The sequence below is a fragment of the Homo sapiens genome, chromosome 2 (assembly GCF_000001405.40).
Source record: "Homo sapiens chromosome 2, GRCh38.p14 Primary Assembly".
Taxonomy (NCBI): domain Eukaryota; kingdom Metazoa; phylum Chordata; class Mammalia; order Primates; family Hominidae; genus Homo; species Homo sapiens.
In genome coordinates, this window is record NC_000002.12 from 15,553,190 (window position 1) to 15,574,635 (window position 21,446).

General features: G+C 39.8%; 1 protein-coding gene and 1 long non-coding RNA gene across 10 annotated transcripts in view, besides 1 other annotated feature; one reads left to right on the forward strand and one right to left on the reverse strand.

Moving 5' to 3' along the window:
* The window catches only part of NBAS (NBAS subunit of NRZ tethering complex), a 782,426-nt gene extending 774,281 nt beyond the window's left edge, over window positions 1–8,145 (reverse strand). For 8 of the 9 annotated variants that reach the window (XR_007076390.1, NR_052013.3, XM_017004317.2 and 5 more), the window contains exons 1-5: window positions 7,999–8,145; window positions 5,391–5,445; window positions 3,594–3,630; window positions 872–949; window positions 237–284 (exon numbers count right to left, since the gene is read on the reverse strand). Coding sequence is in view for 6 of the 9 variants with exons in the window: in XM_017004317.2 (XP_016859806.1) it covers window positions 237–284; window positions 872–949; window positions 3,594–3,630; window positions 5,391–5,445; window positions 7,999–8,115 (335 nt within the window). In the remaining 3 variants the exon portion in view is untranslated. Of the gene's footprint in view, window positions 1–236; window positions 285–871; window positions 950–3,593; window positions 3,631–5,390; window positions 5,446–7,998 lie in introns of those variants that run through there. The other variant, XM_047444735.1, reaches the window with a different exon arrangement.
* Window positions 7,935–8,344: an enhancer, noted in NCBI's record as "active region_15346". NCBI's record gives its function as "activates an Ori minimal core promoter by ATAC-STARR-seq in GM12878 lymphoblastoid cells {active_cell/tissue: GM12878}" and the evidence as "EXISTENCE:reporter gene assay evidence [ECO:0000049][PMID:35858748]".
* LOC105373440 (uncharacterized) lies at window positions 8,959–20,680 on the forward strand. The gene is made up of 4 exons (XR_001739297.2): window positions 8,959–8,994; window positions 10,913–11,085; window positions 11,876–12,009; window positions 20,295–20,680. It is a non-coding gene; the product is annotated as an uncharacterized LOC105373440 (long non-coding RNA).
* Window positions 20,681–21,446: the final 766 nt, after the last annotated feature.

Here is a 21,446-nt window from a genome sequence, read left to right on the forward strand (position 1 = left end):
AAACTTCTTAAGAGGCAACGGAATGATCTGGGGAAGGAGAAAGATAAGCATATAACTCTGAGAAAGCATCCTTAATTTTTTAACTGGCGTAAGTTGGTGTTTGACACTCACAAAATTAAGTGAGTTAATAATAAAATCCTTTTAAATATATCCCCTATAAAAATCTTAGTTTCCATTTATAGAGTAACAAATATTTCTCAAAGGAAATCTTGAATATGAATAATATTAACAATTACCTGATTTCCACACACTGATCTTGAACAGCAGCCAAAAGCTTTCCATTGCTTTTATGGAGAAGAAAGAGGGGGAAGAAAATCTATTATGAATATCTATAGCAGTTTTCAGCACAGATGGAATTATTTAATAAGTTAAAAATCATTTTTAAATTTGTTCACATGCTTTAATTATCCATCTTTTGACCTTACAATTAGATGAGGATACAGGTACAAAAGCACACAAAATGATTTAATACAGCATGAATTAACATGTTTAAGCTCTCTCTCCCCCACTCTCCCCATCTCTCTCCCTCTCTCCCCCTCGCTCCCTCCCACTCTCTCTCCCTCTCCTTCTCTTTACCTCCCTCCCTCTTTCTCTCTCTCCCTCCCTCCCTCTCTCCCTCCCTCCCTCTCTCCCTCTCTCTCTCCCTCTCTCCCTCTTCCTCTCTCCCTCCCTCCCTCTCTCCCTCTCTCTCTCCCTCTCTCTCTTTCCCTCTCTCTCTAAAAAGTTTAAACAATACTAAATATTTGCAACAAAGAAATTTACACACAATAAAAATCAAGACTGAAAGCCACAAGCATTCCAAAATTAACGTCCATAATGAAATGTAAAAGCTAATCCAGACAGAAAAACATTGAATTTCACACTTCCTTACCTTGCAAGTACCAAATGCCAGTTTATCTGTTTATTAACCAAGCGAACCAGTCCATCAGGGAGCAAAAAAGGTGCCGGGCTGAAATCACAACACATTAGTTAGCTTAAAATCTAATCATGAAAACCACATATATGCAGACAAATAGCACATATACTTATAGAGAGAGACACAGATTTTTTTCCATTAGAATATAAAATTTGAATATTAGCAAACCCAAAACCCAAAGTTACTATTTGGTAGCTGAAATTTGACCATATATATTTCTCTATTTCCAAAAAACACAGTGATGTGTTCAAAGGTATAAATGTTATGTACTTCCCAGGTAACAGACATCTAGCATACCAATCACAGAGCAGAGTACACTTATACCAACCCTTTCTGCTCTAACTACCTAGGAACTCTGGCTCAACTGTAACAAAAACAAATTCTAGCATAGAGTTAAACTCACAAGAAAGAAAGATAAATTTCCAAGTACTAGAAATGAAAAAGTCACTGAAAGCTAGAATTGGGCACAGGGTAAAGAGAGAGATAAGAACTCAAAACAGGACTTAGCACACGAGATAGGAAATGAGCTACTGAACCAAAGAGAGGACAGGAGTTGGAAGTGAGACTCCTGCAAAGGCCAGGATGCTCAAATGACTGCACCAGGTCATTGAAAGAACTAGAAACACCTCACCATAGGCCCAGGGAGACTAAAGACTCTCTTCTCTCCCTGGAACTATGGTTCTGTGGAGGATAAGAATAAAATCTCCTATGAAAAAGTAAAAGTCCAAGTCTGTACTATATGTAAGATCAGATTACAATTTCACTTTACTCATGTGATGCAAGAATCTGCAAGCATAAGTTCAAAATAAAACCATTCACAAAAGACACGAAACTACTCATCATAAGTGAGTAAGCAGACACAGCAAATTAGAGGATTAATACCCGAAGAAATCAAGAAAACAGATGGAAAAGAAGAATAAAGAACATAATTTCATGAAATAGAAAAAAAATAAATTATGGAAATCAGAAAACACAAAATAGGATTCCAAAATGTTAGTGGCCAGGCACAATGGTATGTGCCTATAGTCGCAGCTACACGGGAGGCTAAGGCAGGAGGATTGCTTGAGCACAGGAGTTTAAAGCTACAGTGTACCATGATCTTGCCTGTGAATAGCCACTATACTCCAGCCTGACCAACACAATAAGACCCTCTCTTAAAAAAAAAAAAAAAATTAGTAATATACATGTAGTACATTTACGCTCATTTTTTAAAACACAAAATAATATCAAAAGACAGTTACAAAAATATAATGAAGATACAAAACATGTATGTGAATACTACCTATATGAGGATGATAATTTCCTCTAGAAGGGAAGGGAAAAGAAAAAGGGAAAGGACTTGAGATGTAACATTTTGCATAAAAACAAAAAGAGCTAGCTGATACAGGTTTATTATATTGTCAATAATTCTCAGTATGTTTATATTTCATAATTAAAAGAACTTTTTTAAAAAAAGAAGAAAAAGTCACTTGAAACAAATACTGACCCCAAAACCTTTGGGTTTAATTACCATAAACTCAAGAGCACAAATTGAACTATAATCTTTTTGAAAGCAGCATATCATGAGACAGATGAATCACTTAATGGTGCATTTGCAACCTGTACAATGATTCAAGGAAAAAGGCTTCTCAGGAGGAAGGGAGACAAAAAGATACCTACTTCTGATGCCTGATCATAAGGTTCTCACACAGAGGACAGGGCTTGTAGCAGAGTTAACTTTTTGAGTCTTCCTTCTCAATAAATAAAAAAAAGAATTATCAAGCAGCAACCTGAACAAGACAAGCTTGACACCTCATCCAAGGGTGTTCAGGACTAACAAGCTGTCGCCTAGAGAAGTCAGAAAACACAGCCCACCTCCCACACTCCTATCCTCTCCTTCCACTCTCTCTTCCTACTCATTGCTCTATCCTATCATATCCCACACCCACAAAAAAAGTGACACAATTAAGTATAGAAATTGTAAATATGCATACATATATACATGTATGCACATACACACACACATACATAGAGTAAAAGCAGAAAGACGTTGGAGCAAGTCCTAGAGAACGCCAAAGGTCTCTTTTATGGAACTATATTATCTCTGGAACTTTACGACAAGATATCCTCAACGAAGAAGCAATCTATGTAAATAATTCTATAAAACAATTCCTACACATGTATCTAAAAGCAGAATTATAACTTTTTTGTCATAATAATAATTTCTTTGTTCTTTCTAAAGCTGGAAATTAGCATCATCCCTGCAAATATACTTAACACTCAAGGAATTAAAAAATATACAAGAACTGAAACCTAAAGAACCTTCTCTGATATACAGCAGTTGAATATTAACCACAAGTGAGATGACATGACAAGAACAAAAATGTATTTTAAAAGATATGCAGGCTACAGATGCTTCATATGGACATTCAAGATAAGCCTGAGAATAGTCATCAGAGGAAGCAGAAATTGTCATGAGACATTCTTAATAGTAACTAAGGGAACAAAAACTACCCTAAGTCTACTGAGATATCTTGTCAGATTCTACCTAAATGTTTGAAATGTCTCATACTGAGTTTGCCTGAATGTCAGCAACTTTATCATGATCTAGAATTCAATTATGAAAACAAATCATATATAGAACAATATTGTTTATATTTGATGTTCATACTGTTTCTCTGAAGAACCGAAGACTCACCTGTACCAGATGTATTGGCGTAAAAATAATAAACGATCTGTAATCAAAAGAAATGGCAAAGCCAAATATAAATCAGCTGTTAAGAATCATTTTCAAATTAGATTTATAGATGAGAAATCTAAAATATACTACAGAGCGAGTCATTAAAAAAAATAAAGAACTCAAGTCTTAAAATGAGAGACTAAATATAACCTAATATACACTGTAACATTTACAGGGTCATATACTTATTAAATTCCATGTTTGTGTGTTATTCAAAAGTTTCAAGTATTTCCTAACTGTTCAAGAAATAAAAGCAGTTTGAGATGTTAAATTTAATCTAAGAAGCTTTCATGAAACCATGGACTAGAAGTTATAATAATCACCCCTTAGAAACCAAAATATTTGTATAAAAAATTAAAGCAAGATATATTTTACACTTTATAGCAAAGATTTTTAAAACAGTAATACCTAAAATGGGAAAGCCCACGGAAAACAAAACCTCTAACACGCTATAAAAAACAATGCTTTCTATCATCCTAAATGTACATGTATGTGTGTACCTGTGTATGCAGTTAGGTATATATCAATGGAAAAATATCTAAAGAATAACAGATTCTCTCTAGGTGGTATGAGGACAAATTTTTTTCTAATTTGTAGTTATCTATAGTGTCTGTATTTTCTACAATGAATTTTTATTATTTGTACACATTTTCTAAATTCTCAAAATTTAAAAGCATTTGTCATTATGAAAACTGAATATGCTAGTGCTTCTTGTATCAGAAGATAAAATTAACTATAATTAACTGTAATTTTATCAGAAGATAAAAGGATAATCAGAAGATTACAGTTAATTTCAAGTACTTAACTTCTGTGAAAATGAATTTTCTCTTTATAAGGAACTTAAATTCACTGGTATAAGGATGGACTTTGAAGCCAGAAAGACATGCAGTCAAATTCCAAATGAATGACCTTGAGCAAGTTTTCTTATCTAAAATCATAAAGGAGTAACGGCACCTTTCTGGTCTGATAAAAGGACTCTATTAATGAATATGGTAAACCCGTCATGGCACCAGCTCAGTAAACCTAGTGCTCAATCCTTTCTCAGACTCTTGTTAGTTCATACGTAAAATTTGTCAGGAGTTAAATGAATACCCTGGCTTATCAAATCTGTAATTTGAGTATCTCTGACCAGATCTATCTGAAACACCACATAGACCTCTTAAAATAGTCTCTCAGTGTATTTTCACCTTCAACATCCACTGACTTTCTGAGACTCATACTGGCTTTGACCTTCATTCCTTCTAGAACAGCGTCCCCCAACCTTTTTGGCACCAGGGACTGGTTTTGTGGAAGACAATTTTTCCATGCAACCTAGATCCCTCACACGTGCAGTTCACAATAGGGTTTGCACTTCCCTGATAATCTAATGCTGCCGCTTATCTGACAGGAAGTGGAGCTCAGGTGGTAATGCTCACTCACCCATCGCTCACCTCCTGCTATGCAGCCTGTTTCCTAACAGACCACAGACTGGTACCAGTCCATGGCCCAGGAATTGAGGACACCTGTTCTAGAATACATCCATAATGGTTAAACCAAAGCTATATACTTTAGCTCTAAGCTGCATTAGAGCTAAAAACGTGCATGCGTAAATATACAAATGTATACATATACATACATATGTGTGTATATATAAATATATATATAATTAAACTCAGATAACACACATTACTTTTATTAGGCTCCACATCAGAAGTCTAAAGAACACATTTTAACTGTTAACCATATCATTACTGTAGAGAAATAAGCTATATTTACCTCGAATTGCTTTCGTGATGATAAAGGATGCACCATGTTTTTGGTTGCCTCTAGGCTGGAATTTAAAACAAAAAACACTTACATTTGAATCTTCTAGTAGTATTAGACCAGTATTACTTATACAATATGTAAACTTATTTTTATTTACTAATACTCAGAGTTTTGGGCACAGGGAAGCAGTGTCTTAAAACTACTTAAAGACTGGATGTTCAGGTGCAGTGGCTCACGCCTGTAATCTCAGCACTTTGGGATGCCAAGGTGGGCTGACTGCTTGAGCCCAGGAGCTCCAGACCTGCCTGAGCAACGTGGCAAAACCTCATCTCTACAAAAAATACAAAAATTGGCCAGGCATGGCGGTGCATGCCTATAGTCCCAGCTACTTGGGAAGCTGAGGTGACCCAGGAGGTTGAAGCTACGAAGCTACAGTGAGCCCTGATCATGCCACTGCACTCCAGCCTGGGTGACAGAGTGAGACCCTGCCTCAAAAAAAAAAAAAAAAAAAAAAAAAGTAGACACAGGACGCGGGACAATAGGAGAAAAGTGAGCATAGCAGAGCTACAGGCACATGTCAGGACTAACCTTGCAGGAAAGAACAAGGATTGAAGCTGGAAACTGTTTCCAAATCAAAAACCAATCCAAAGACAAGAGAAGTCAAGGCCAAAGACCATACTGGTTGCCAGTTCAGCATACTCTATTGAGGCTGTAAGTTTTGCTCACAGGAAAAGTGGTCATATCTCCAAGGCCAATTCATTGACTATCTGTTGTGTATCTATACAGACAATGCTACTAACAAAACATACACAGATACGTAATTGCTATATTAAATAATTCCATTCCATAAGTATAGACTGAACACACCGTGGGTAGGTTCATGACGCTAGGCACTGCATAAGATGCACTAAAGTGCTGTCAAGAAAAGCACAATGGACATACAGTAAGTGTAGACAGATTTTTTTAAAAAACACAGAAAAGTTATTTCACTCAATAAACATGAATTGATTGTTGGATTCATGCAAGACACAATTTGGCCCTGGGAAGAGATATAAAGATGAATCAGATGTCTGCCCTCCAAGAGCTTATAATTCAACAGCTGAAATCAACAGAATGCAGAAATCGATAGAATGCAGAAATCAATTGAACTCCCCCACCCCCAACACACAAACACAAAACAAAGTGCTAAGGGTTTCAAAGTAAGTTAATTCTGTGGTTACTTTTTTGGAATCAATTTATGGTAAGCATTCTGAAACATTACTGCAATTAACCAATGAGTGTTAAGGAGTGGAAACTTATCTAACCAGCTGCCTCAGCAACAGCTTCCTAGCTGCATAACCCAAAAAATATTCACATTAAGACAAACTAAGTACTTGAAATTAAACAGTAATATATGCAGATCTCTACCCGTCTACAAAATAAATTATTCATGATAAGCACAAACTGCAGTGGGAAGGAGGCTACAGAGGAAAAAAATACAAACTTTGGGCTGAAAAATGAGTCGTTTCTCCAGCAAAGAAACACTCAGAAAAAATGTAAGATAACTCACATGGGCTGGACTACATAATCTTTAATAAAGGTTCTTTTCGATCTGGCTGCTTCCTCTGGGTCTAAAACAGTAACTGGCACGTGTTAAGCACTCAATAAATATCTGTTAAATAAACATGGATCCAAAAAATAATAATAATAAAAAATAAAATAAAATAAACATGGATCCATGGTTCCTACTCTTCATCACAGACCCGGGAGGCCTTCACTACCAAACAACTGATAATCCCAAGATCCAGTCCATAAATTATCAACCTCTATAACCCTTCTGTAGCGGAGATCCCAATCCCAGTCAGCAGCTCTTTACTCTGCACTTCCGTGGCATTTTGCTCACATCGCTAACTATAGCGCATAAAACGCTAGGTTATGAAAAACGTTTACGGGACTGTCTCCCCTCTAGACGAGAAGCTCCACGAAAACATATTCATCTCTGTATCCTTAGCACCTAGCACAGCACCTGTGACACCGAGACAGACGAACGGACACGCACACCCTTATTAAATGCTCTTTTATTGAAACACACAAGACCTGGCGCGATCCAGCCCCCAGTATGGGTAAAGGCTCAGATTCTGCGCTCTGCACCAGCCTGGCAGATGCTGCAGACTGTAAGGTCCTGGAAAATTCTCCCATCGCAGTTGAGCGTCGGCCCAGACTAGCCCTAGCCAGACCGCGAGAAGGGACCACTGAGGGTCCAGATAGGAGAAAGGACCCTCGAGTCCAGCGCTGTGCCTTCCCCTCCTAATACAGAGAGCGACACTAACAATCCCCTCTCCTCCCAATACAGAGAGCGAAACTGAGAACCAAAGTGGGATCGTACGCTCCCCAGAGCACGAAGTTCCAGCCCCCAACAACCGAATTCTGAGCCCAGGAAGAATCTCAGGGACCACCACCCCACCCCGCCCTAGACCCCCGCTAGCCCAAGGTGCCGTTGCCAAGGCGACCGCACAAGCCAACCGGCCCTAGTCCCCCACCCACCCGTCTCCACTCCCCTACGTGGCTCCTGCTACGTGGCTCTACCCACGAAGCGCCCGCGCCAAGCTGGCTGCTGCTGTAGATGGGCCTGGTTCACCTGTACTTCAGTCTCCGGTGGCCACTCGGTGTTGACCAACAAGTCATAGAGAATCGTCTCCTCCTCACCCTCTGCAGTGCCTGGACTCAAAGCCGGCCCTGACTCGGGGGCCGCCATGTTCGCCGAGGACTCAGGCAGCGGAGGAGTGTCTCTACGGAATCCCTCACAGGACAAGCTTCTCTATCCGCGGCCGCTTTTGTTTCACGGCAAGGAAATGCTAGGTTAACCCTTTTATGAGTAGGAAGGACAGGGACTATTGCTTGTCTTGGGAACGACTTGTGTCCCGGTCCTGATACACTCCTTGTTCATTAATCTACATGAGATCGGCCAAGTCATTGAGCCTCTCTTATAACTCAGTTTCCATAAAACAGAAATGGTAAAGGTACCCCACTGAAATGCTAATGTTCATTTGTATATTCTTTGCCTAACACGTAGAGAGAGTTCAAACAGTGGTTTTAAAATAAACAACTAAAGTTATCCAATGAAAGGTAGCAGAGGAAGGATGCTACAGGAGCTCAGAAAAGGCAACGAAGGCCAGAGTCTGCAGGGATTTCCTGGAGGACGTGGAGCTTGTCCCTGCGTCTTTAACAATAGGCAGAATTTTAATCTACTGGAGAAGCATTTCAAGTAGCGGGAAATGGAATGAGCAGAGACAGAGGCAGAAATACAGAGTTGAAAGAACTCTTTCAACGTGTCGCCAGTGAGTGACGACTTTCTCAGTGTGGGAGTAAAAGAATTTACCAAGACAGTGGTAGATAAAGAAAGACAGATTAAAGAAAGTATGAAAGTTCGTTGCCAGGGAGCAGCGGGCCGACTCAGCAGAGGAGGAGCTCATTGCTAGGAAACAAAGGCTTGTTGAGAATTTTATAGACTGGAACTTGGAGTGATTGATAACACCAGGTAGCAGGGAGTTAACTTGCTTTTTTTTTTTCTTTCTTTCTTTTTTTTTTTTTTTTTTTGTCAGCTGAAGTGTTTCAGAAATTGAGGCATTTGAAGGTAAGCAGGAAGTTTGTGAGTTAAGTACGTTATCTGGGTAGAAGGGCCATATGTCCTGGGCCATAAAGAAAAGTAGACCTATGGCTTATTTGTTTCTTCCTTTTGTTTATATGTTTTGGACCATGAAGAAAGACAGACGTATAGCTAATTTGCCTTATCTCTTTGTTTTTCCCTGCTCCCACTAGCCTGCCTTTTTTTTTTTCCTAATTAGTACTCAACAAGACGGGTGAATAGAACCCAAGTTGAGAAAGGGTGTAGGGGCAATAAAGTTGAAATAATAGGTTGAGAACCCGCATGGAGGGAGCGAAAAGGTCAACCCCATTTGTTCATTCATTCATTCATTCAACAAATACCTCTTTGTGGACAGTTATAAGCAGAGCCTACTGTAACATGAATGAATATATACTGTACAAAGTATTACACTGTTTCACATCAAAAGAAACACAAATACTGAATATCCCTTGAGATAATTATATTCATGATATCCATCAAGATGCATTAGGCGGTGATGCAATTAAAAGCCTCTGCTGGGAAGCCTCTAACCAGCTCCCATTTCTCTCAAAGTTTAATGACCTCAAAGCCCTACGTCATCTGCCTGCTCCCCTAAATCTCACACCTCATTTCCTGCTCCCCCTACTACCTTCAGCCACACTGGCTCTATTTCTGAACACACCAGACACACATCAACTTCAGGAGTTCTGCAAAGCCTGTCCCCTCCACTTGGAAGGCTTTCTACCAGATGTTTACCTGGTTCCTCCCTTATCTCCTTCAAGTTTTTGCTCAAATGTCGTCTCTCTCTGAAGCCTACCTTGACTGCTCATTTTTAAATTTGCAATGACCATTCTCCAACTCCAGCTTTCCAGAGCTGCTCTATTATTTTTTCCATTACACTTGTCATCACTTAAATGGCTATACAGTATATTTGCTTATTATCTGTCTCCATTCACTAAAAGGTAAGCCATGCCAGGTGCTCTATCTATATGCATGCAAATGCTATATCCATCCCTGCTATATCCCCAGAATTTATAACAGTGCCTGGCATAGAGCAGAGGACAAAATATATATTATTTGTTGAATAAATGACAGACTTCCCAGAAAATCTTTTACACATTGTCTCCCCATAGTATTTCTCTGCATAGCAGCTGTGCCCTTCAATCAAACCCCTCATTGTGAACACCAGACGTGTCTTCTCCCTACCGCACAAGGCTGACAAACTGTATACCTCCGGGGAGCCCCGCCCACATTGCATGCGGTAGAACATGAAGAGGCAGGAACACCATGCACATGGAATGCGGTGTGAGGGCTGGTTACTGGAGTCCTCCAGTACCTCAGTACAACCCCACCTATTTCTCCACACCAAGTTTCCTTGGCTCTTTATTCCTCTGTCTCATCCTTTCTCAGATAGATATTGGGGTTGCTTTCTGTTTCATCACTCTCTTCACCACTTTCACTCAATCTGTACAACCACGGCCAGGAGATAGCTGGTCAAACTGGCAAAGGATGCTTCCTTCTTAGCTGGTGTGCAAAGGGGACCACTGCAAATACACCATGAAGAATTTATTTATTTTACCATCATCACACTATTTTTGTTTGTTTGTTTTTGTTTTTGAAACAGGGTCTCACTCTTTCACTGAGGCCAGAGTGCAGTGGCACAAAGAGAGCTAACTGAAATCTCTACTTCCTGGGCTCAAGCAATCCTCCCACCTCAGCCTCCTGAGTTGCTGGGACCACAGGTGCATGCCACCATGCTGGGCTAACTTTATTATTTTTTGTAGAGATGGGGGGTCTTGGACTTCTGGGCTCAAGTGATCTGCCTCGGCCTCCCACAGTGCAGGGATTACAGGCACGCACCACCATGCCCAGCCTCACACCATGTTAATTGTTTTATCCATCCTCATCCATACCCCACTTACCATAGCATGTACAAAAGGACAGAAAACATAAACTCATGCCTGGCAGAGAGCTTCTACTCTGAAGAAACAACAACCGAAGTGTCACAGGATGAATCTATGCTATTTGGAGAGGGAGTATACATTTAACTTGAAGCAATCCCTGGAAGAAAAATTCTACTAGCAGAGATGCTCTGAGCAGGTAAGTGGGTTCTTAAACCTTCAGCACCACTAGTTAAAATCCAGAAGAGTTCCTGGAAGGGGAGAAATGTGAGGTGACCAATAAAAGGGAAGAAGATGGTAAGAATATGTATGCCACAAGAAGAACTCCAAATGTTGAATATCAGACACGGGTTGGAAAAGAAAAGACAAAGATCTGATCAAGTTCAACTGAATCAAAGGAATAGGATGACTTAAAACAGATTGAGTGGCTGAAGCCAAATTGCTACTTGGTCTTATTTACAGTGACTATATAGCAAAGTATCCAAACTGGGATATTTTTGAAAAGAAAAAGCCATGATTTTAATAGTTATGCTAGGACAACAAGCATGAAACAGGGCTGTCATGGGCAAACTGAGATGATTGTCACACTAATCCTAAACAGCAGAGTGGGTAATTTAATGAAGAGGTGGTGAGCGTTTCACAAGGATAGCAAGACTCTTCTGTTCGTCATTATTCTCTTCTTTCTTCCCTCGTGCTTGTAGTGACACTGGTCATTTTTGTCTGCCCAGGCCCTTTGCTTCCTTCGGAGACTGTTCTAGCTGCTCTTCATTCACTCAGTCAGATAATTCCTAGTGGGGCCGCCAATCCCCAAACTCTGCCCCCTTGACCCAAAGAACTCCATTCCTGCTACTTTGAGCATCAGGTTGAGAATCCTTCCCTGGGATTTTTTTTTTTTTTTAAGTGGAAATGGAGGAAAAGGCTCCTTGCCTTTTTGGGTCACAGAGTTTGAAGAATATTGGGGTTATTAGCATCCATCTTATTCATTCCAGAGAGAAAGCCTGTCTATATAGTGAAAGAATGAAACCAATACATTGAAAAAAACTGAGAAGAGAAAGAGGTAGAGACTTCATCTGATACAAGCATGCTTGAAACAAGAGACACCTGTATGATTCCATCTTCCCAGGTAAGTGATCTAGTTCATTCTCTTTTATGCTTCAACTAGTTTGAGTTTCTAGGCATTGAAACCACCCCTCTCTTGGTGTTTCTACCAGTGGAGTTTGCATTATTTATTTTACCTTAAAATATAGAATATCAGACACGGGTTGGAATAAGGATTTTACCTTATTTATTTATGTACGTATTTATTTAAGACAGGCTCTTGCTGTGTCACCCAGGCTGGAGTGCAGTGGCGCAAACACAGCTCACTGTAGCCTCAACCTCCTGGATGCAAGCGATCCTCTTGTCTCAGCCTCCCAAATAGCTGGGACTACATGCACGTGTCACCACACCCAGCTAAAGATTTACCAAATTTAGAATCTGTATGTTGTGTATGGATCTCTGCAATGTTGCTTCTGAATTGACAGATTGGTGTTATTAGTTAATAATTGAGAGTGTTCATAGCTTACTGAGCTTTTCCATCCTCACAGCCACTGCTAAAATTGACAGACTCAGAAGACAGAGTCTATCTCTATTTCACAGATAAGAATATTAAAGCTTAGAGAAATCCAAGATTACAACAGAGCTAAAATTCAGACAAGGTCCTCAGGTCTTGATCCCGTGCTTTTTCTTTAAACTACCACATGTTACCGAGAACGTCATGGAAAAGATTATTTAAAAACATAGATGGAGCACTCAGATGGTTCAAAGTGAAAATAAACAGTTAAGGATGACCAGGAGTACCAACACGTGGAACTGGGGTATTATCAACCTGTCAAAGGAAAATTAAATACATTATATGTAAGAGTTTGGTTGACAAATACTATTGTGATCATCTAATCAACTCCTTAATTTAGCTGAAAGTCCATCTCTGGTTCAAAAATATTTGAAATCATGAATAAGTCTTTTTTTTTTCTTTTAAATGTTTGGAGAGACAGAGTCTTGCTATGTTGCCCAGACTGTTCTTGAACTCCTGGCCTCAAGTGAGCCTCGCACCTCTCAGCCTCCCAAAGTGCTGACATTGCAGGTGTGAGCCACTGCACCCAGCCTCTTTTCTCTCTCTCTTAGTTTCTTTTTTATGAATAAATCATTCTGAAGAGAAAAATTATGTTTTCCAAATAACCAACACAAATGGTAACTGTAAACTGCTTAAGGAAATAAGATAAATAAAATCTGAGACAGTTTCAAAGTAGGCATCATCATCATTATCATCATCACTATGTTTTGTGTACCTACCCTGCTTCAAGCACTATACCAGGTATCTACAAGTAGATATAGATGTACTTTAGTAAACTGAGGCTCTAAATCACTGTGACCCAACCAAGGTCACATGCTGGTAATGGTAAAGCCACAAATGAAATAGTTTTTGTCTAACAGAGAAGGTACTACGATTTACCCACTTCAAAGAGTAGTGATCTGATGATGATATAAGCCTTTGATGAAAAGGAAATAAATTTAGAAAAATTTTCCTATTTCTTCCTAGCCTTATAGCATATTAAGTGTACTTCAACTGAACTGAATATAATCCTCATTCACTTTGCTGATGACCACAGACATTCTTTCTTAGAATTAGACAAAAACTTAACATCATCTCACATAAAGGAATCATTTTTTGGCCAGGCGTGGTGGCTCACTCCTGTAATCCCAGCGCTTTGGGAGGCCGAGGCGGGCAGATTACCTGAGGTCAGGAGTTCGAGACCAGCCTGGCCAACATGGTGAAACCCCATCTCTACTAAAAAAAAATAAAAATACAAAAATTAGGCAGTCACGGTGGCACACCCCTGTAATCCCAGCTATTCGGGAGGCTGAGGCAGGAGAATTGCTTGAGCCCGGGAGACAGAGGTTGCAATGAGCCGAGATTGTGCCGCTGCACTCCAGCCTGGCCGACAGAGCAAGACTCTGTCTCAAAGAAAAAAAAAAGGGAATCATTTTTCTTCTCTTAACTCATCAATGTATAGCTGTCATTAGCTCATAGATTCATTAGTAGGAGCTCAGCCTTTTAGCTCCTATCAGTTAAAAAGTCCATTAAGCTAAAAGCCATTAATGATTCAGCATTTAACCCTTTTATGCTTTTCAATATTAGAGACAAAAGAGATTAGATCATCATATGAAGTTGCTTCTGTTTTAAAGTTGAAATTGCATAGTAAAATTGAATTTGGGCATTTAAACACTACCTGTTATAGGTGTCATACATTTGTATTTGATTGGATGGTGCACTAGCTCTTTATGAAGAATATAAATTTTAATCATAATATAAAATAACACTGAGAGCAATTCAAGAAATTTTATTTCCTCTAGAAAGCCTGCAGAATCCCAATCAATCCTTCCATAAATATTCTAAGACTTTTATAATATATCTTGGCAGCCAAAATAGATATAAAGCTCATGCATGGTTTTAGCAAAGAAACAATGTCCAACCCCTTACTGAAATCTCATTTACACTAATTAGCAATGCAATTCAAACAGACCATTTCCTCCCCCCAATTTTCTCACTCACAAATTATACAGAACATCAAACTGGGAAATAGGCCCTACCAGAGGCACATACAGTAACAAATGCATAAATCAGCAGCAAGTAAGTGCAAGAAGGGGACTAATACATTGGTAAAAATACACTGGTAGGCTGGGCATGGTGCCTCATGCCTGTAATCCCAACACTTTGGGAGGCCAAGGCAGGCAGATCACCTGAGGTCAGGAGTTCGAGACCAGCCTGCCCAACATGGCGAAACCCCATCTCTACTAAAAATACAAAAAATTAGCCAGATGTGGTGGCGGGTGCATGTAATCCCAGCTACTTGGGAGGCTGAGGCAGGAGAATGGCTTGAACCCGGGAGGTGGAGGTTGCAGTGAGCCGAGATTGAACCACTGCACTCCAGCCTGGGCAACAAGAGCGAAACTCCATCTCATAAAAAGAAAAAAATACATTGGTAAATTGATCAATTATTGACTTAAAAGTGAAAATAGCTTTTTAGTTTTATTTGGTTTAAAAGCAAAGGTAAACTATCTGTAATATAATTTGAAGTGCCTCAGAAGTGCATCAGAAAATAAGATGGGTTAATGGATAGGTGGAAGATAAATAAATACATGGAAAGATGTGATAAAGCAAGTATAGTAAAATACTAATGATATCTCATTGGTGGGTACATGGGTGTTCATGGTAAAATTCTTTCAACTATACTATATGTGAAAACTTTCATAATAACATATTGGGGGAAAAAGGTAAATTTACAATTTTAAAAAGCACAAACAAGGGATAGAAAGAATTACAACATATATCTTCCAAAACATAAAATAGAATAAAGGACATTAAGAAAACTGTCAATTTGAGGCAGGGAAAGACAGAATAAATAACAAGTATAAACCAGGATAAAGAGAAATTTCTCCCAATGGAATAAGGTGATGCAATAATCATTAAGCTAATACAACACACACGTATGCATCCATGCGTACACCTCCCATACACACACTTCTCTCTTCCAACCTCCCCCTTTTTTTTTTTTTTGAGACAGAGTCTCGCTCTGTTGCCCAGGCTGGGATGCAGTGGCAGGATCTCTGCTCACTGCAAGCTCCGCCCCCCAGGTTAACGCCATTCTCCTGCCTCAGCCTCCCGAGTAGCTGGGACTAGAGGCACCCGCCACCACACCCGGCTAATTTTTTTGTATTTTTAGTAGAGACAGGGTTTCACTGTGTTCGCCAGGATGGTCTCGATCTCCTGACCTCGTGATCCGCCTGCCTTGGCCTCCCAAAGTGCTCGGATTACAGGCGTGAGCCACCGCACCTGGCCCCACCCTCCCCTTTTCTTATAAAGAGTAATTTCAGAAGTTTAGAATATGAATTTCCCCCACTCCCTTTATTTGTTTTAATCACTTATGGAAAGTTCTGCCCTAACCTGGGCAACATAGCCAGACTCTGTCTCTTAAAAAATTGTTTTAACTAGCCAGAAATTTGCCAGACGTCGTGGCTCACGCCTGTAGTCCCAGCTACTCGGGAGGCTGAGATGAGAGGATCGCTTGGGCCCAGGAGGTTGAGACTGCTGTGAGCTATGACGGTGTCACTACACTCCAGCCTGGCTGACAGAGAAAGGCCACAGCTCTAAAAAAAAGAAAAGAAAAAAGAAAATTCTCAGTTCTTACCTATTCACATGTCACCTGTACACCATTCACTTTAGACAGATGATGGGGCATTGTATCCTCTGTACGTCTCAGCCCCCCTCACACTTTATACCTCATTGTCTTTCTGTTTTGTATCCAGTGTAATTTCTTCTAATCTCGATTCCAATGCCCACGTTCACTTTTAAGCTTTCTCTGCTTAATCTTTCCATCAAGTTTTTAAATATTATTATATTTTTATTTCTAGAAGATATTTCTTTAAAACTCAAGGCTGCTGATCATTTCGTTACTTTCTTTTTCTGTTAAAGTCCTACTTTTAGAAACACATCAAACATAATTTATATTCTCTACCTGGTATTTCTAATACCTGAAGCCCTCGAGTATCTATTTTTTTTCTGCTGACTCTTGCCATGGTGGCTTCTTTCTTTATGGGGTGTGTGTGTGTGTGTGTGTGTGTGTGTGTGTGTCTTATTGTTTGCTCAGATGCTCTGGAATTCTAGTTCTGAGGATTCTTTGAGGCCTCAGATGGAGGGTGCCTTCCCCCTGAAAAGACTTGCCTTCATGTCTGCAAAGCACTCAGTAGACTTGGGTCCACTTTAAATTAAAGTTTGTTTCACATGATACAAATAGTGTAAATTCAGGCTCCAAACTTACGAGAGTGTCAGGCTGTGGCAACAAATTCTTAAAGGAGACTTTTATATGCACTCAGATTCCAGGCTGAACAGACAAATTTATTTACTCTCTGCCTCTTTTTTATGGGATTAAAAAAAAACTGTAGCTCTTCATGGGTGCTAACTTTATTTAGAGTGACTAGAGATCCACTCCCATTACACCAATCCAAGCCTCCCCTTCCCACTTCCACTATTTTCAGCCCTGCAATCAAAGCTCTGGACATCCGGATCCATAAATATCCCTAAAGCGTCAGTTCCCCCGTCTTCCATGGATTCCCACACCTGTTGCTAGGACTCAGATATCTTTTACTTTCTTACAAACTCATTCATTCATTTTAAAAGTTGTTTTTGTTTCTATATTAGCTAGCACTCTTGTTGTTTGTGGGAGTCTTTTAGGATGTCTTCTCTGACAAATTGACTAAATGAAACCCTCTGAACCTAGCAGAGCGAAACAAAAAGGGGGAAGGCATTCCCCCCTGCTTTGTTACAAACAGCCATGCAGCTCATAGACAGCACAGACCCCGGGCAGCAGATCAGCAATGGCTCCAAAGGGAAATGATCGGCAGAGTAATGGACCTTTGTGCCAACATGTATCAGATATCTATGGGACTCCCCAGAAATATTTGGTAGAGGATTTTACAAATGACTGAGTGTCTTCTGTCATCAACTAGGAACAAGACTAGTGAAATTATGATATTTGCTATTACGATCATTACCATTCATGTCCACAGGCGGCAAGGCTAGGGAGTCTCAAATAACACCAATAATACAAAAATTCAAAAGGCAACTACAAAACCAAAACACTGTAATTCTTTGTGGACAGGGCCAATGACTTTTTAATCTCTGTAAACCCAGCCTGAAAGCAGGCCCTGAGAAAATATTTATTGACTACATGAATTATACATGGTTATGTTGATGCTATTATAGATTAACCTTTTTTGCTTAAAAGGGAGATTGTAACTTTTAAAAATCACCTATTTTTTCCAGCAAAATAATGTAAGCTCGAAAAAAATTTCTCTCAATGAATGGACCATTCATGAGCCATAATTTTTTTTCTACCATTGTAGTGGATTTTGGTTAAGTTCTTCAGTTTATCTTTGAGTTTCCTCTAATTGAAAACTACAATGGAAATATTAAGCAAAAGTGCAAAAATTCAATGAAACTGACAAGTAATTAATATGTATTTTGATAGGGCAAAGTACCAACTCAAAATGTAGAAGTTATTAAAGCATCACTGTCAGACACCTTCAGCTATGTGGAAAAACTGAATTAAACACCAAGGATTAAAAACCGTTTGAGGAAGAATTATTAAATGTCTCTCAATGTTAATAGTTTTAGCTCTTCCATGGAATTTCATGCAAACTGTTTCCTATTGAAGTCCTTATCATTTTAGGCTTCTCTTTAGTTAAAAAATGTATACCTAATGTTAAACTTTTAAAGTTTTTAAGTTTAAATTGTTATATTCTGATACAGATATGAGATAAATGATTTTTAAAAGAAACTTTGGAACCTAATTAAGTCCTGAAAGGATGAACTAAAAGAAAGATTGAAAGCATTTAAAAGAAAGATTGTAGGCAAAAATCTTTACCAAACTGAAGTCACCAAGTAAGAAAATAGCATGTTAAAGTCGAATGTATCCCTATGCTAAAAATTGCTCTAGAATTTACGTTGAACCTAACAGATGAAACAATAGTTTTGCAGTCAGGGCACATTTATAGAATGTCATTTCTTCCACTTCTCACAGATCTTGACTTCTACAATCTTCCAGCTCCTTCTCCTACCTCTGGGATAGACTCTAATGTTAGAGAGACCTTGTTTTGAATAATAGTTCTGTTACTGACTAGTTCTATAGCCTTGCAGGAATTATTTAATCTATTCATATCTTGGTTTCCTAATGGGAAACCATTAGGAATGGTTTGGGGGACATAAACTAAAGCGTGGTTCTCAACAAAAATCTAGCCAGGCTCCTCTGAGCCCTCTTATCTGCCAGGCCTCAACCTTGGCCTATGAAAACAACAAACTCTTAGTGTAAACAATTTCGTCCACTCTCTTCCTCTCCCCATTTAAAGACTTAAGCAAACACTAACAGTTACCAACAGCTCAGAGCCACAACCACCGTAAGTGACCCTAGCTATCCTTAAAGGGCCTGAGAAAGCACAAGGCTTCTAAAAGAATTTACTGTTTGTTCCAGCCAACACCTGACCATAGGCCCCTGACCACCCTTTCTTAGAGCATTTACTAAATTTTACTCAATGCACTATTTACAATTGTGAATCCTTCCTCTGTCCCTTTGAGATGTACACCTTTCTCCAACAACTCAGCAGTGAAAGCCATTCCTTTGAAATGTAATCATAAGGAATGACAGTACCTGTCTCTAGTCTCTGGGAGAATACAACCCTAACTTTAATTAATTGATTAATTGCAGCTGACTTAATGGGCATTTACACTGACCAATCTTCCTAATTTTTCACTTCTCTGACTCTGCTCAAGCTCTAGCAGTCCCCCCACCACCTCCCAAGTTGAGTTTAGTTCATGCTGGACATTCTTCCCTATTGCAATAGTATATTACTGATTAAAATCTGTCCTTACCACTTTAACATTCATCTCTTTAACAGATCAAGAAGTAGGAAATAAAATGACATCTAAGAATAAAGCCATGAAATCCAAATGACCATGTTGGTGAACCTTAAAACAATAATATTCTAAAATAAGCTTTCCACATGTGTCATCCAAGGAAACCCACCTGCATTAGAATCACCCACCTAGGGAATTTGTTTAAATGTCCACTCCTGGGCTCCACCTCGGACAGGGGAGACCAAAATTCCTGAGTGCTAGACCTTGAAATATGCATTGGGGAAAGAACTCCCTGGAGTAATTTTTTTTTTTTTTTTTTTTTTAAGAGAGAGTCTCGCTTGTTGCCGGGGCTGGAGTGCAGTGGCGCAATCTTGGCTTGCTGCACCCTCCACCTCCCAGGTCAAAGCAATCCTCCTGCCTCAGCCTCCTGAGTAGCTGGAACTACCGGCATGTGCCACCACACCCAGCTAATTTTTGTCATATTTTTTAGCAGAGACGGGGTTTTGCCATGTTGGCCAGGCTGGTCTCAAACTCCTGGCCTCAAGTGATCCACCTGTGTCAGCCTCCCAAAGCACTGGGATTATAGCTGTGAGCCACCACGCCCGGCCTCCCTGGAGTAATTCTAAGCTACTTGCATTTGAAGAGCACTGGTGTAAACAATTAAATATAAATATGCTGCTGAAAATTTCTTCCAAACAAATGGTTAAGACATAGCTCATATTCTGTTTACTTTAGCATGTATTAAGCAAGATGGGAAACCGAGGGCTAACCTGATTAAGCCTGCCTAATTTAACCTGCCTTGCTTGCTTTTAATTGCTTACATCCAGTTAATCTTAAAATTCCCACTAGCAAGTCATAGTAGCCAAACAATGCATAACTAAACTTCCACTAGCCTCCTTATAGATAACAGCTCTGACAGTGGGTCACCATAATAATAAGTGCTTAATGTTGTTTTGCAGGAGCTAGCAGGCAGTTCTTGTTGAGTTCAAGCCAGTTGAGACCATCAACCCTTCAACTGAGCCTGCATGGGTGCGTAAAGTGTGACCTTTTGATGTCAAAGGGCCAAAACCTGCACCCTCCTTTCATGCTAATTCAACCATTTTCTGAACATGCATCCTATGAAGAGCCATGTAGCTCAATTATGCTTGTGCAGAAACCCTGATTACCTCACCTTTCCCACCTGCCAATCACCTTTACCCATACTTCACACCATCCTGCTTTCTATCCCGCTAATTACCCCTAAGCCCTGTTTTCAGGGAGGTGGATTTGCGATTTGTTCTCCTTCTCCTTGCTCAGCAGCCTGGTAAGCAATCTCACAAAATAAAATCTTTTCTTTTTTGCAAAACCCACAGTCCCAATGATTGGTTTGCTGTCCATGAGCAAAATGAAGCTGGTTTGATATCAGATGTCACATATAAAAATTGGGGGTGGAGTAGGGTGTAGAGGGAGCAGGTATAGAATTTCATCAGTTTGCAGTCAGTAAAAAGAAAGGGAGTTTAGGCTGAGGACAAGTATTCCAATCTTTCTATGGGGGGGGGATGTATTAGTCAGGGTTCTCTAGAGGGACAGAATAGTATAGATATATAAAGGAGTTTATTAACTGACACAATCACAAGGTCCCACAATAGGCCATCTGCAAGCTTGAGGAGCAAGGAGAGCCAATCCCAGTCTCAAAACTGAAGAACTTGGAGTCCGATGTTCGAGAACAGGAAGCATCCAGCATGGGAGAAAGATATAGGCTGGGAGCCTGAGCCAATCTCTTCTTTTCACATTTTTCTGCCTGCTTCATATTCGCTGGCAGCAGATTAGATGGTGCCCACCAGATTAAGGGTGGATCTGCCTTCCCCGGCCCACTGACTCAAATATTAATCTCCTTTGGCAACACCCTCACAGACACACCCAGGATTAATATTTTGCATCCTTCAATCCAATCAAGTTGACACTCAGTATCAACCATCACTGGGAGATAGTCACTTTTGGTGGGTAAACACGTGGAGCTTATGTCTCCTCCCCTTGAATCTGGACTGGGCCCGTGAGTGAAAGCTTTTACTTTTTAGCCCAGGCTTTAAGAAGGCCTGGCAGCTTCAGTTTCCTCCGTTTTGGATTCCTGA